Consider the following 16,189-nt stretch of genomic DNA (forward strand, 5'->3'; position numbering starts at 1 on the left):
GTCTCAGTAGAAACTAAATTATAAACACCTAATATGCCTCTAAAAGAAATCTGGCTTAAGGATGATATTTATAGACAAAGAAAAGGATAAATGATGAAGTGAATGTAATCTAGAAGATTAGTGGATCTGATCCCACAAGAAGTCAAGCAATCAAAGAAAAACTTGTGACATATATCCTGTAAATAACATTTGATCAGAGATATTAGTAGGCATTTATCCATTTTAACACAAGGACTAAAAAAATTGCCTTATTTGCAGTGCACTGTCTTCCTGAGGGGTGAATTCAAATGAATCTACCAAAGTATTTTTAATAAAAGCTATATTTAAGTACAAACTGGCTCAAATATTTGGGAAGAAAAGCTAATATAGGAAAGCTACCCAGAGTACAGTAATCCACACTAGACTTATTAATAGTATGCAAACAAAACATCTTTTTAAGTGTGTATCCCTATGTATATATTTACTGTAGACTGTATTTTTTTGATAGTCACTTTAAAAATATAATATTAAAGCTTTGAATTTTTAGACTAAAAGCTATCTAAGTCCTATAAAGAAAAAAAGACATTTCATCTTATGCATTGTTAAAATGTTTCTCCATGGTGCTTTTAATGAAGTATATGCAACTAGTTTAACAGCATGACAATTGTTATTCCAAGACATCTTCAGTAACTTTTGAAATAGCAAATTTAAATTTTAACATGTTCTTATATTTAACATGTTTGATATTTTCTTCTAGAATATCATAGCAAATAAATATTCAACATACACCAAAAGTACTTAAAAGAAGCTCCTTTCCTTTGGACATCAACTTTTAAAAACACGAACAACTTTTTGAAAGACAGAATTTACAAATACAGAACTGTACTGACTTAAATTTGGAATTTACTAATTACTGGGGATACTTTAGTGAGTCTGCATATGTGTATTATTAATACATGTTAAACCATACTGCAGATAACAAAAAATATACTTACATTTCTCTTCCAGAGAGTAATGACTGTATTCAAAGTCTGAGGGAATGACAAAACGGGATGCACATCTAACACTGATACACGGTTCTTCAGAAAAGACTAGTTTCAGCTGTTTCCAGGTTTACATAAGATGATGGAAGCAGTCTCTAATATGTTAATCAAGAAAATATATGCAATTGCCAGCTACTACATATACAGAAAATAAAGATGGTGAGTCAAACAAAACATACAAACTTGGTAACTTCTCACCCTCCAGATATTTTGAACATATTTAAAAAATTTGAAGATAGGATATCACTGTGATCTTAAAAAGAGAACTTTAAAAATAACACATTATGGAATAGTAAAACTGAGCTGCTAAAACCAAAGTAGTAAACAGTTTTCCTGATGTCCTCACACTCTTAACTAAAACCCAAATTAAAACTACCAGCTAAATTTAATCTAAGTGTTGACTTTTTAAATGTCAATACTTTCAAACCTCCTTTAATAATATTTTAAAATATACATAAACTTAATACATTACTTAAGAGTTAATCTCATTTCTTTGAATGTGGGCTTTGGCCTAACTTGCAGAATGCTGGGGAAACATTAAAAAAAAAAAAAAAAAAACTAAATCAGCAATTTTCTTACTTTCTAAGTACTTACACTGTTAAATAAAATAACTGAGGCTGGGCGCAGTGGCTCGCACCTATAATCCCAGCACTTTGGGAGGCCGAGGTGGGTGGATCACCTGAGGTCAGGAGTTCGGGACCAGCCTGGCCAACATGGTGAAACCCTGTCTCTACTAAAAATACAAAAATTAGCTGGGCGTGGTGGTGCATGCCTGTAATCCCAGCTACTCAGGAGGCTGAGGCAGGAGAATTGCTTGAGCCTGGGAGGCAGAAGTTGTAGTGAGCTAAGATCGTGCCACTGCACTCCAGTCTGCGTTGACAGAGACCCTCTCTAAAAAAAAAAAAGACTGAAAAAAATTTTTTTTTGGTACAAGAATCAGGTAGATGATTCTCATTTGGGGGTTACAATGAAAAAAAGACTCAAAATCTATTTCATTAAGGGGAATGGCACTATTTTGAGTCAATAAAAATCCGAAGGGTTGCAGTTTTGTAGTCAACTGAAATTTCTGAAAAGCGATATAAAATTAAAGGCAATGTCTCGATATAGAAGATACGGGACATATTTTTACAATTACATTTCATAACAGCTACATTTTCTGTTAAATCTAAAGAGTCTGTAACATACACCCATGTGTATTTTATTTCAGAAGAGTCAGTGGCTCAGAGATGTTTAGTTTCGACTTCTGGTTCAGTGAAATAGTCTAAATGTCAGAATTAAATATATGACTTGCTACTCGCCAAAGATCCACAATATATTCACACCAGATAGACCAAGATTAACTCTCCTATAAAGAGAAAAAAAATTTTTATTAGAATTGGTTGCCAAGCATTTAAGGTCTTTTTCTAATAACAAAAAACTTTATGAATAATACATGTTTAACTGATATTTAATGTGATTCTGCAATGAATTATGTTATACATGGTTTATCAGGTGAATTCCAGTAACAGTAATTACTTTCTTAACTATGCCTAAAACCCAAATTTAGAATAAATAGATTTATGGAGTGTTGACAGTTTTTCAGTAAACAAGAACTATTACACCAGGTAATAGCTAACAGAATAATTTTAACAAGCAAGATTAAAGTAAAAGTATCAATTGTATTTAAAAGATGGAAGATATGGAGATGCTAGCCTCTCAGAGAACTGTATTACTTGATTTGAATTAGGAATTTACTAACTACTGGGGATACTTTAGTGAGTTTTCATATGTGTATTAGTAATACATTAAATCCTACTACATATAACAACAACAACAAAATACATATACTTCTCTTCCAGAGAGTAGTATGACTGTATTCAAAGTCTGAGGGAATAAGAGGGCTATAAGAGAAAGAAATTACTCACCTAACAAAATAAAAAAATCAACAGATAATATCTGAAACTGAAGAATCAAGAGAGCTGTATACCTCTATTATTTGGAACTATGAGAGTAATAACTGAAGAAAAAGCCACTTGGGGAATACAGTCCACTTCGAGAAGCAGACTTGGGGAATACAGGGAATTGCTCATTTCTGTCATGAACTTTTAGCCCTCTATGACTTTTAAAATTATAAGAATGTATTAACTTTGATAAAAAGCTGCCAAAAATGCCTTTCGAAACAGGTAATTTTTATCAACTGTATTTTCCATTTCTTCATACCCTCACTGACACTACAAATAATATCAAATTTGACAGAAAAAAAAGTTAATTTTGACTTGTTTGTACATGAGTCTAAGCATCTTTTTGTGTTTAGGAGCTGTTTGCACACTTTATGAAGAAATCTTTCATACCTTTGTCCATTTTTCTAATAAAATCATATATGTTCTTTATATATAACAAATATAAGCTTGGATTTGCTATATTTGCAAACCCAATTACTACTGCTCATATTATAGCAGAATAATGCTTTCAGTTTGTCATTAACTTTAAACTTTACAGTGTCTTTTCCCAAACAGAACATGTAAGTCACTGTGCAGTCAAGTCTGTCTAGATTTTTTTTCCTTTTGCAAGTAGAACATTCATCTGATTCCTGTTACTGCACAAATACCTGACATTAAATTGATAATGTATTTGGATCAATCTGTGGGTTTATGGTCATAAATCCAAATGGACTATATTTGAGCCACTCACTTATTTCTTTTAAGTTATAGGAAAGTTTTTAACTATTTGTTTTAGGATGTATTTGAAAAAATATTCATGTTCGAAAGGTTAATAATTTCCAAGCTTTTCCCCGAGTTTAAAAACACTAGTTTTAGTCTAAAATGCTTAATTTCCCATATATAAGTTGCTCATTAAGAGAATATAGCGCTTTAAAAATTGTATCAATTTCTTTTGGCCTTTCAGTAAATTTCATTACATTTCAGTAAATGAAAAAGTGCTGCTCCACTAAGCACTTTTTCATTTTAAAGCATATGACAGACCGTATATGGCACTCAAACCTCATGCTATCATGACAAACCATTTATGCATCAAAATATCAATTTGGATCCACAGAGGAAAAGATACATTTTCAATTAGAACCAAAAATTAATTGCTTATTTATATTATACAGGTTAAGCACCTATAATCTGAAAATCCGAAATGCTCCAAAACCCAAAACTTTTTGAGTGACATCATGATGCTCAAAGGAAATGCTCACTGTAGCATTTGGGGGATTTTTAGATTAGGGATGCTCAGTAATTATTGCAAATATTCCAAAATCGGAGAAAATCAAATCCGAAACACTCCTGGTTCCAAGCATTTCAGATAAAGAATACTTGACCTGTATTAACAACATGGAATAATAACAATATGGAATTTATATCAAATTCCATATTCCATCTAATATATATGTGTAAGTATATTTATAACCAAACATTCCTAGACATTTTAGGGAAAATTTGACATGGGAGAATGTCCAAGATATGCCATAAGCCTAAAAATTAGATCATAAAGTACTATGTTTGGATACAATACATTTTTAAGCAAAAGAAACAAAAATAAAGCCAGGTGGAGTGGCTTATGCCTGTAATCCCAGCACGTTAGAAGGCCAAGGCAGGTAGATCACAGCCTGGGCAATATAGTGAGATACTGTCTCTACACATAATTAGAAATTAGTTCTAGTTTATACACTGCTGTGTTATTTAAATACTTATCTACTGAGTATGCATTATTTTCATAATTTAAAAATAAAAAACCCTGTTAGTTTAGATGCCTCAATAAAGTTAGTTTCCTAATCTTTCTTACATTAAAAAATATATGATAAAAGAAGCTAATAGCTGGGTGTGGTGGCTCACACCTGTAATTACAGCACTTTGGGAGGCCGGGCAGGCGGATCACCTGAGATCAGGAGTTTGAGACCAGCCTGGCCAACATGGAGAAACCCCGTCTCTACCAAAAATACCCGGCATGGTGGCGGGCATCTGTAGTTCCAGCTACTTGGGAGGCAGAGGTTGCAGTGAGCTGAGATGGTGCCACTGTACTCCGGCCTAGGTGACAGAGCGAGACTCCATCTCAAAAAAAAAAAAAAAAAAAGCTAATAAATGTTCATATTTGTTTACACATTTTTGTTCATGTCTGTTTTAATCTTTACATCCGATATATTTAAGGAGCTTTGCTTTCTCTAGAGCAGTGCTGTCCAATAAAAATACAATATGATATGAACTGCAAATGCAAGCCACATAATTTTAAATTTTCTAGTAGATACCTAATAAACAGGTGAAATTAATTTTAAGAACATATTTCACTTAACTAAATCTATCCAAACTAGCATTTCAATATGTAACAAATATATACAATTTTTAAGGAGTTATCTTACTTTTTGGGGGCTGTGTCTTTGAAATCTGTTACACGTTTTACACTTTAGCGCACCTCAATTTGGTCTAGTCCTGCTTCAAGTGTTCAGTGCCACATGGGGCTGGTGGCTACTGTGCTGGATGGCACAGTTCTAGGACACGTATAAACTCTAAATTACAAACAGGATGCTATCTAAAACTTAAAGACGCATGCATATCGGAAGTGGAAATGACCACAATCCCTTCTGCTCCAAGCCCATCCCCCCTTTTTTTTTTGCTAGCCTTAGGTTACTTAGTATGGCAGAGCTGGACCCAGAACCCAGGTTTTCCGACTCCCAGATCAGGCACTACAAATATCCCTAGCTTTAGCTGGGGTCTACTTATTTCATGTGTCATTTGATACACTAAAATTTCTAATCATCAAAATGACAATACTACAATTTTGAATTTCTTGCAGTATGTGAGCTTTGTTACCAAGTATGTAAACGATTTCAACTGACTACTTTTCCATTCCAGTTAATGATATTATGGAACAGGTACCGACTCTGTCTCTCTGGAAGTGTAAACACTTCGCAGAATGCTTTGTGTCTGAAATGAAATGGCTTGGAAAAAAACAGTCTCCAGATTTTAAAAAAAAAATGTTTTTAAACGGCAAGAGTCTAATTTTTATCTATCTCTGAATTATTCCTCCAGGGAACACAACTATAATGCTAACGATGTAGTCCACTTGCCTTTTACCAATGGGTTCCGAGGAGTTAGCTAATGGATTGCCCAAAATAGCAGAGGTAGTCTGTGACAGGGCTGAAGCCATTATCTATTGTTCAATCCATAAACCTTCAGTTACATGCTGCTGCCTTCTGCAGAATCTTAACATAGGAAGAAAATCAGTAAATAACTACTTACGTTTTTAAAGCATAAGTACCTACCCAAGCATTCCTGACTCTTTGGTCTTTATGATGTAGAGAAACATCAACAATGTATGAAACATATTATTTCTGCCCTGGAACAAAGACAAAAAAGACAAGATTTAAACCAAATGAAAAAGATTCAATCTGGTAGGTAAATACATATCTTATCAATTCATATCCTACTAACTCAGAATTCCATATAATTCAGACTTTCATTTATTTATTAAACAAAGTACCTACGCTTTGTGCTAGGAAGTGGGAATACTGCAGTGAGTAAGACAGAAAGGATACATGTCAAGGACATAAGGGCCAGTAGGAAAGGCAGACAGTAAACTAAGAATCACAACAAAGTGTGAGGAATGCTATGAGAGGAGGTGCCATAGGAACATATGAAGATGCAGTGTCTGATTTAGACTGGTTAGCGACAGAATGCCTCCCTGAGGGAAAGATTTTTTTTTTTTTTTTGAGATGGAGTCTCGCTGTGTCGTCCAGGCTGGAGTGCAGTGGTGTGATCTCAGCTCACCGCAACCTCCATCTCCTGGGTTCACGTCATTCTCCTGCCTCAGCCTCCCAAGTAGCTGGGACCACAGGCGCCCACCGCCATGCCCGGCTAATTTTTTTTTTGTATTTTAAGCTGCAACCTGAAAGATGAGCAGAAAGGTAACATACTGGGGGGTGGGGAGCTGGGGGACTGTGTTTCACACATGGGGAGAAACACTTACTAAGGTCTGGAAGAGCCTGGAGAGCTATTCTGAGGTTGGTGCCCCTGTACACTACACATATAAAAATGGTCTATAATGGCATAAACAAGTGTTGGGATAAAAAAAGCTTTTAGTCATACTTTAAAATATATCAGAATATACTTTAGCATACAAATAACATATTAAATATAAATTTATTTTATCTGCAAGGGAATACTAGGCAGCATATTGCTAGCTCTAAAATCAAACTATTATATGTAATTTTTGGTCTGTAAAAACAGCTCCTAATTTAGATTTTCAATTTACAGATTAACTTTTCCCCACTTACTCTAATTTAATGTGTTTTTAACTCAAGAATCTGAGAGAATGTATGATTTTTAAAAGATAATGTTTACACTGTAAGAACAAGGAAAAAAAAACAGATGGTGGTTAAAAAACAAAGATTGGCATGGATATTCACAAGAACTTCAATGGCCCAAAGTATTTACATACAAAGCTAAAATATTAAACTTGAAGAAATGAAATTAACATCTCTTCCTGAGAATCTGATAGACAGCACAATTTATTATTATAGCCAATGTAAAATTTCTTAGTAAAGATGCTGGTAACAAAAATAATTGTAAAGGTTATCAACAGAACTGATGCTTGTAATTAAGAGTAAAAAACCAGTGTGGCAGCTCATGCCTGTTATCATCCCAGCACTTTGGGTGGGCAAGGCAGGCGGATCACGAGGTCAGGAGATCAAGACCATCCTGGCTAACACAGTAAAACCCCCGTCTCTTACTAAAAATACAAAAAAAATTAGCCAAGCGTGGTGGCACGCGCCTGTAGTCCCAGCTACTCAGGAGGCTGAGGCAGGAGAATCGCTTGAACCTGGGAGGCGGAGGTTGCAGTGAGCCGAGATCACACCACTGCACTCCAGCCTGGGTGACAGAGCAAGACTCTGTCTCAAAAAAAGAGTAAAAAATCTGTATGTGCTTGTAATCTTAGCTACTCAAGAGGCTGAGTCAGGATTGCTTGAACCCAGGAATGTGATACTAGCCTAAGCAACACAGCAAGACTACCTCAAAAAAAAAGTAAAGCACATTAATGGAAGTATAAATTGATACAATAACCTTTATTATAAAGTAATTTGGTAACATGTTATTTTTAAAGTCTTAAAAATATTTTGACCTAGAATTCCACTTTTAGAACTCTGGACTAAAGAAATGCAGATAGCTGTATGCATGAAGATACATTTTCAGCAGTATTTATTTATTTTATTTTATTTATTTTTTTGAGACGGAGTCTTGCTCTGCCACCCAGGCTGGAGTGCAGTGGCGTGATCTCGGCTCACTGCAAGCTCCGCCTCCTGGGTTCACGCCATTCTCCTGCCTCAGCCTCCTCAGCAGCTGGGACTACAGGTGCATGCTGCCATGCCCGGATAATTTTTTTTGTATTTTTAGTAGAGACAGGGTTTCACTGTGTTAGCCAGGATGGTCTCGATCTCCTGACTTCGTGATCTGCCTGCCTCTACCTTTTCAGTAGTATTTATAATAAAAAATAAGAAATACAGAAAATGTACAACAGTAGAGAAATGGTTGAATAAATTATACTAGTGAAGTTTTTTTTATAGCCATTAAGAAGTATTTTTAGGCCGGGCATGGTGGCTTATGCCTGTAATCCCAGCACTTTGGGAGGCCGAGGTGGGCAGACTGCCTGAGCTCAGGAGTTTGAGACCAGCCTGGCCAACATGGTGAAACCCCATCTCTACTAAAATACAAAAAAATAGCCGGGTGTGGTGGCGGGTGCCTGTAATCCCAGCTACTTGGGAGGCTGAGGCAGGAGAATTGCTGGAACCCGGGAGGCAGAGGTTGCAGTGAGCCAAGATTGCACCACTGCACTCCAGCCTGGGTAACAGAGTGAGACTCTATCTCAAAAAAAAAAAAAAAAAAAAGGAATTTTTATGAAGATTTTTAATAGTATGGAAAATTATGTTATAAAGCTAATATTTAAAAGCAGATATAAAACTACATAAATAATTTTAGCCCATAAAAAATATAAAGAAAGGGCCAGGTGCACAGGACCAGCCTGAGTAACATGGAGAGACTCTGTCTCTACAAAAAATAAATTGGCCAGGTATACTAGTACGTGCTTGTAGTCCTAGCTACTTGGGAGGCTGAGGTGGAAGGACTTCTTGAGCCCATGAGTTCAAGGCTACAATGAGCTATGATCATGCCACTACACTCCAGCCTGGGTGACAGAGCTAGACTCTGCCTCTAAAAAGAGACATAAGACCAAAATGAAATTTACCAAAAGGCAATATACCAATCAAAAAATCAACAATGACTGCCTCAGGTAATGGAATGAGTGATTTTCCTTCTTTTTCTTTATACTTTCCCCAAATTAAGCACATATTACTTTTATAGTAAGAAATATATATGTAGGAAACACATTTCCAATTTAAAAAATTTACTTCTTCTATTAACATGAGATTATAATTTTAAAAACATCATCCAAGCAAATCACCCAAGACATTCTGTAACAGCATCTTCTCTATATAGAAATACCTTTGGCAGGTTGTATACATGACGCTGGTAGATGAGCTCATAATGGGGAGGGTTGATAGCACTCTGATAAATGCAAAAAACATTCTCATTTGTAACATCTGTAAAGGAAGGCAATATGCTGCATTAAAAAACCAAACCCCCAGAGATATTTTGTGTGAAAATCTCAACACATTCTTTTAGGAGAGGTTTATACCTGGTTTATTTGGTGTCTGAACAAAGTGCTGAGAAGTAAAAGTTTTTCCGTCGGGATACTTCGGATGTGGAGGTAATCTGGAATCAAGGTAGGTGCAAAATACATGCATGATGATCTGAGGATGAAGAAATAATTTTTTTTTAAGTCAGCATGAAAATCTAGCATGGATGTAGAACCCTTTAGAAACATCTGTATTTATAACGATTCCAATTAAAAAATTTTTTCTCTGAAGAGTGAATTAGAAAAATGCTGTCAAATGGTTAGATTTACAAGATAAAATCTATAGAATAAAAAGATAAAAACACATAGTTCAGGTAGCACACCTATTCTTTTAACTGAAAGTATTATTTCCTACAAAGATAAGGAATTCACTAATTCCTCTCTTAAATCATAAAGGAATTCAGTGTGTTTAAGACATGAAGCTAGGCTTAATTCAAATAATCTACTCAAAATTTAAAATAGAAAAAGATATTTGCCATCAAATCAGTCTATATTTTGATGAGAAGGTTTCCTTTTCAAATTGAAAAAGTTTGAATACTCCAGCCTACGAAGTTACCATAATCTGTTGAGGGTAGGGGTGGAGGGTGGGGCTTAAACACCAGACTCCCATTCCCTACATATTTGATCTTCATTTTTAGTTTTCCATAGCAACCCTAGAAAAGCAGGGCATTCTTAGTTTTTTGCTAAGTGGATCATTCATACCAACACAGTTAATAGCAAAACCAAGATAAAATACATTCAATTCTCAATCTGAATCTCAACATAAAACTTAATTTTCACCCGTAACAGTCACTATAAAAAAAAAGCGAACATAATTTTGAAAAACTTGTAAGCACACAAAAACATTTATGTTCTTTGATCTCCTAAATGTAATTCTAGGAGTCTCTCTTAAAGTGACAATCCCAAGAAAGAAAGCAATGCGCATCACACTATTTGCATGCTGCATTACTCAAGATCAAAAAACAAGTAAAAATTCCTTCTCCACCACAAGTGTCTCAAACTTTTAGGTCCACTATAGGAGAATAGTTAAATGACAGTGTGTAATAATGAAAAAATATCTAGGTAGGAGGAGGCTGAAGTAAAAAAAAACCCTAAATATTACAGAAGTGGAAAAAAAGCAGAATACATAATTTTACATACCGGAGAATTACAAATATGATAAAAACATTAAAAAATAGTAGCCACCAAGTAAAGGGAAAAAATACACAAAAATATTAACAGTGGTTGGGTGAACATGCTGATACTATTATAAATACCTTATTTTCTAAATTATTTTTAACACTTATTCTTATGATAGGCAAACAAAAACACATAAATCCAGTAATGGAAACTGAAAAAAACAAAATAAATCTAAGGGTCAGGCACAGTAGCTCGTGTCTGTAAACCCAGCACTTTGGGAAGCTGAGGCAGGGGGATCACTTGAACCCAGGACTTCAAGACCAGCCTGGGCAAAAAAGTGAGACCCCATCTCTACAAAAAATTAAAAAAATTAGCTGGGTGTGGTGGTTCAGGCCTAGTCCCAGCTACTTGGGAGGCTGAGCTGGGAGGAGCACTTGAGCCCTGGGAGATCAAAGCTGCAGTGAGACGTGACTGTGCCACTGCACTACAGCCTGGGTGACAGAGTAAGACCCTGTGTCAGTCAATCAACAGTAAATAAATAAATGAATGAAAGAATCTAGGGGCTTACAGCAGAATCGGTGGGCAGGTCTGTATCCCACTTTCGTCCTTTGAAGTCGCCACCTCTGTTCCATCGAAATGAGCTCATACAACCTCCCTGAGATAGTTCTGTGGCAACAAGGTGAAATTTTTAAAAGCTAAGAGTATGCAAAAAAGAAAAGAAAAAAAAAGCTAAGGGAATATAATAAGGGAAGCAAATCATTTAAAAAACTTGATCAAAACACCCAAACCTAAAGAAATAAAAGATATAAAAAGACAAAAGTTAAACATGTCCCTGAAGACATCAGATAAATCCAAAATGTGGGATTTTAGATTTATCTGACTACTATTTTGGCTTCTTAAAAAAAGAGTTGATGGGTAGGGAAAATTTGAATATGGACAATATATTAAATATCAGAAAACTATTATTTTTTAAAGGTATAATTGTATTATGGTTAGGAGAATGTTCTTACTTTTAGGAGAATGCATGCTAAAAAGTAATGTCTGCAATGTACTTTCAAATGGCACAACAAGAAAAAAAAGTGTGTGTGTATATATATGTGGAAAGAAAGAATCAAATATGTCAAAAGGTTTCTAACTATCCAATCTAGAACAAGACAGTGTTCACTGTATTCTTTTTTTTTTTTTTTGAGACAGAGTCTCGCTCTGTCACCCAGGCTGGAGCGCAGTAGTGTGATCTCGGCTCACTGCAAGCTCCGCCTCCCGGGTTCCCACCATTCTCCTGCCTCAGCCTCCTGAGTAGCTGGGACTACAGGTGCCTGCCACCACGCCCAGCTAATTTTTTTTTTTTTTTGTATTTTTAGCAGAGATGGGGTTTCACCGTGTTAGCCAGGATGGTCTCGATCTCCTGACCTTGTGATCCATCTGCCTGGGCCTCCCAAAGTGCTGGGATTACAGGCGTGAGCCACCGTGCCCAGCCCACTGTATTCTTTAAAGCTTTTTTGTATATTTGATATAAAACCTTTATATACTTTGTATATATGTGTACATACACAGACACTTTCTCTTTTTGGATGTACAAATACCCTGCTAACTACAAGGCAATCTTGCCAAAAAACTCAAACATGAATTTATGGGAAAGAGAAGGGGTTATGTAAAACTACACCATAGGGATGCATTCAGCAAAACCCACACTATGGGAACCACTAAAGACAAACAATCCAGTTCTTCTGACAAATAAATTGCAAAGGAAAAAAAAAGGTGAATGGGAAGCATATAGCTTAAAATAAACTGAAATAACCAATTGCAATGTATTACAATATTTGAATCCCAATTCAAACAAACATTGCCAAAAAATTATGCATTTTTATGAGATAGCTGGAAATTTGAACACAGACTTAATATCTCATAACACAGGAAATATTAGGGCCAGGTAGCATGGTGGCTCACTCCTATAATCCCAGCACTTTGGGAGGCTGAGGAGGGAGGATTGCCATAGCCAGGAGTTCAAGACTGCAAGGAGCTATACACTCCTGCACTAGTGCCATTACTGCACTCCAGCCTGGGTGACAGAGCGAGCCGGGTCTCAAAAAAAAAAAAAAAAAAAATTATATTAAGAATGATAATTGTGGCCAGGTGCAGTGACCCACGCCTGTAATCCCAGCACTTTAGGAGGCCAAGGTGGGTGGATCACGAGGTCAGGAATTTGAGACCAGCCTGACCAACATGGTGAAACCCCATCTCTACTAAAAACACAAAAATTAGCTGGGCATGGTGGTGTGTGCCTGTAATCCCAGCTACTCAGGAGGCTGAGGCAGAAGAATCGCTTGAACCCGGGAGGTGGAGGTTGCAGTGAGCCAAGATTGCGCCACTGCACTCTAGCCTGGCGACAGAGAGAGACTGTCTCCAAAAAAAAAAAAAAAAGAATGATAATTGTATTCTGGTTATGTATGTTTGTATTAGTTTTCTAAAGGCTCAGCTGGGCACGGTGGCTCATGTCTATAATCACGGCACTTGGGGAGGCTGAGGTGGGAGGACTGCTTGAGCCTAGGAGTTGGAGACCAGCCTAGGCAACATAGCAAGACCCTTTCTCAAAAGCAGGGGGTCGCGGGAGGCTTATCTTTTAGTGATATACAAAGAAATATTTACAGATGAACTGATAATGACATGAGGGCTTGCTTCAAACAATACAGGAAGAAAGTGGACGGGGTATGGATAGGGCAGGGTCTGGCCAGGGACTAGTGATTGTTGAGGCTGGGTGATGTGTACAAGAGGAGTGTGTATACTATTTTTTCTAGTTTTGTGTATGTTTAAAATTCTCCTTATATAAAATGTTTTAAAAAGTCATGAAAAATGTTTATTCCTGAATCCTGCTCTAACCTTAGGGGAAAGGGAGAACACTATAATATTTTCAAATTAAGATTTATGATCAATTTGAATACTATTTCTAAAACTTGTCTTAGTGATGAGAATCTTTTAAAAAGTTTATCCAAATTTTAAAAAATTCTAACGTTATGAATTGCTCTGTAAGTAGAGAGGCACAGAGGGTGTATGGGGGTGTCAGGGAGCCTACATTTCCTGATTCTCAAGTCAGTCTCCTCAGGAGAGCACATCTTCCACCAAATAATAAGAATATCACAGAAATATAAGGAAGAAACTTATTAAATAGGAATTATAAAAATTAAGAGAAATAAGGCTCAGCACACCGGAACTATAAAGAATGTCATAATGGCACCCATTCTTATGAGTCTAAAAGTAGGAAATGAGTGAAATAGTCACTGGAGCCCATTTAGCTCATATTTAAGTTTCCTACACAAAATAAAGTTATTAAGCTATAATTAATACGTATTTATAAGACATGTTATACTTTTAATTAAAAGTTTTTCCTTGTTAATCTTCACTGATAAAATTCCAGCATAGTAAAAAAGCTCTTATTTTTTTCTCTTCAAATCAATAATTACCTTTGATCCTTTCAAACAAGTATTCCTGATTTGGAGTAAGGTCTAGATACTGAACGATTGTGTTCAAAGTCGGAATGAGAGGCGCTTTAACCAGGGCAGCTTGTTTCAAGCTAGTAATACTAGCCTCTGTTAACATAAAACACAGAGAACACTGATTATTCTAAAAGTGAGTTTCCAAAAGAACTTAAAATGCTCTTCTCATGTGTTCATACAGCTGGTTCCTCACTACCTTCAGGTCTTCATACAAGTCAATGACGTCTCCCCTGACGACCCTACCTCAAATTTCACCCCTCCTCTCTAAACATTAATAACATTACCCTCCTGTGCTTTTTTCCTCCTTAGCACTAACCACTGTCCAATGTACTTTTTTTCTTCTTCTCTTTTTGTTTTTTGAGACAGTGTCTTGCTCTGTCACCCACGCTGGAGTATAGCGGCACAATCACCACTCACTGCAGCCTCAATCGAATGGGCTCAAGCAATCCTCCTCCCACCTCAGCCTCCTAAGCAGCTGGGACTACAGGCACATGCCACCACACCTGGTTCACTTTTTTTCTTTTTTTCTATTTAGTAGAGACAAGGTCTCACTATATTGCCTAGGCTGGTCTCAAACTCCTGGGTTCAAGCAATCCACCAACGCTGGACTCCCCAAGTGTTGAGATCACAGGTGTTAGCCATCGTGCCTGGCCCAAAGTACTTTATCTTTTTTATTGTCTATCTCATTTACTAGAATGAAAGCTTAATGAAGGCAGGGACTTTGGCCATTTTGCTCACTGCTGTATCCCCCAGTGCCCAGAATAGTATTAACACCTGGAACAGACTAGGCACTCAATGTCGAAGGAATAAATGAAAGAAAGCATTTTAATTTGCACGATCTACATTACCTAGAACCATTCCCAGCAAGATAGCCAGATTTACACATGCAACACCCCCTCCTCCCCTTCCCCAGAGAAGCAGCCAAATCGATTTTGGCAAATCTATAAACAACTAATATACAGAAAATTTGTATAAGACATGTATAAAAAGACACACAATTGTTTTCAAAATAAGTTGAATTAGAAGTTGCCCATTATGCCAGGACAAGCAGAAGCTTTTTATGGTAGTGATTTCTTTTATCATATCCTGCAAGATAACTATGCATAGAAATGTAAAAAGCAATTAAAAATTTCAAAATATCCAACTGTACTAGCAATATCCAATGTTAGGAAAAACATTCCTATATGTGTCATGGTTGCTAGAGTACAAACTGGTAAAAGCTTTTTGGAGAGATGTGTATCTTCTAAGCCTTGAAATATATCCAGATGCATTGGCTCATGTCTGTAATCCTAGCACTTTGGGAGGCCAAAGTGGAGGGAGTGCTTGAGCTCAGGAGTACAAGACCAACCTGGACACCCCATCTCTACAAAAATACAAAAATCAGCCAGGTGTGGTGGTGTGTGCCTGTAGTCCCAGCTACTTGGATGCGGCTGAGGTGAGAGGATCTCTTGAGCCCAGGAGGCTGAGGCTGTAGTGAGCCATAATAGCACCACTGCATTCCCTCTTGGGCAAAAGAGCGAGACTCTGTCTAGAAAACAATAACAAAAATCTTAAAATATTCACACCTACTGACACACAAGTCTACTTCTAAGAAATTATCCTAAAGAAATAATTACAAATGTATACAAAGATTTAGGTAAGAGGATATGCACCGTAGCATTATTGGTAAAGGTAATTACTTAATAACTAAGTTATAGTATATATATTTTAGGCAATTTATATGGCACCCTAAAATTTTACCTTTAGCAGATAAGAGAGTTGAAAATAGGTGATGGAAAATTACTATTATTACATAGTCTTTATGCTTTATACAACTTTGTGATTAATATCTGCTAAGAGTCTTGGGCTTATATCTAGAATATATAAAGAAAACATCTACCACTCAACAAAAAG

The 16,189-nt window shown here is 36.3% G+C and overlaps 1 protein-coding gene across 4 annotated transcripts in view; it reads right to left on the reverse strand.

Annotated features, from left to right (window-relative positions):
• Window positions 1-574: 574 nt before the first annotated feature.
• The window catches only part of TMEM209 (transmembrane protein 209), a 40,694-nt gene continuing 25,079 nt past the window's right edge, over window positions 575-16,189 (reverse strand). For 2 of the 4 annotated variants that reach the window (NM_032842.4, NM_001363478.2), the window contains exons 10-15: window positions 14,264-14,389; window positions 11,374-11,471; window positions 9,687-9,801; window positions 9,494-9,591; window positions 6,262-6,335; window positions 575-2,367 (exon numbers count right to left, since the gene is read on the reverse strand). In NM_032842.4, the coding sequence (NP_116231.2) occupies window positions 2,313-2,367; window positions 6,262-6,335; window positions 9,494-9,591; window positions 9,687-9,801; window positions 11,374-11,471; window positions 14,264-14,389 (566 nt within the window). In that variant the 3' untranslated portion in view covers window positions 575-2,312. Of the gene's footprint in view, window positions 2,368-6,261; window positions 6,336-9,493; window positions 9,592-9,686; window positions 9,802-11,373; window positions 11,501-14,263; window positions 14,390-16,189 lie in introns of all 4 variants that reach the window. The other 2 variants (NR_156699.2, NM_001301163.2) reach the window with 2 other exon arrangements.

The sequence above is a fragment of the Homo sapiens genome, chromosome 7 (genome assembly GCF_000001405.40).
Source record: "Homo sapiens chromosome 7, GRCh38.p14 Primary Assembly".
Classification (NCBI taxonomy): Eukaryota; Metazoa; Chordata; class Mammalia; order Primates; family Hominidae; genus Homo; species Homo sapiens.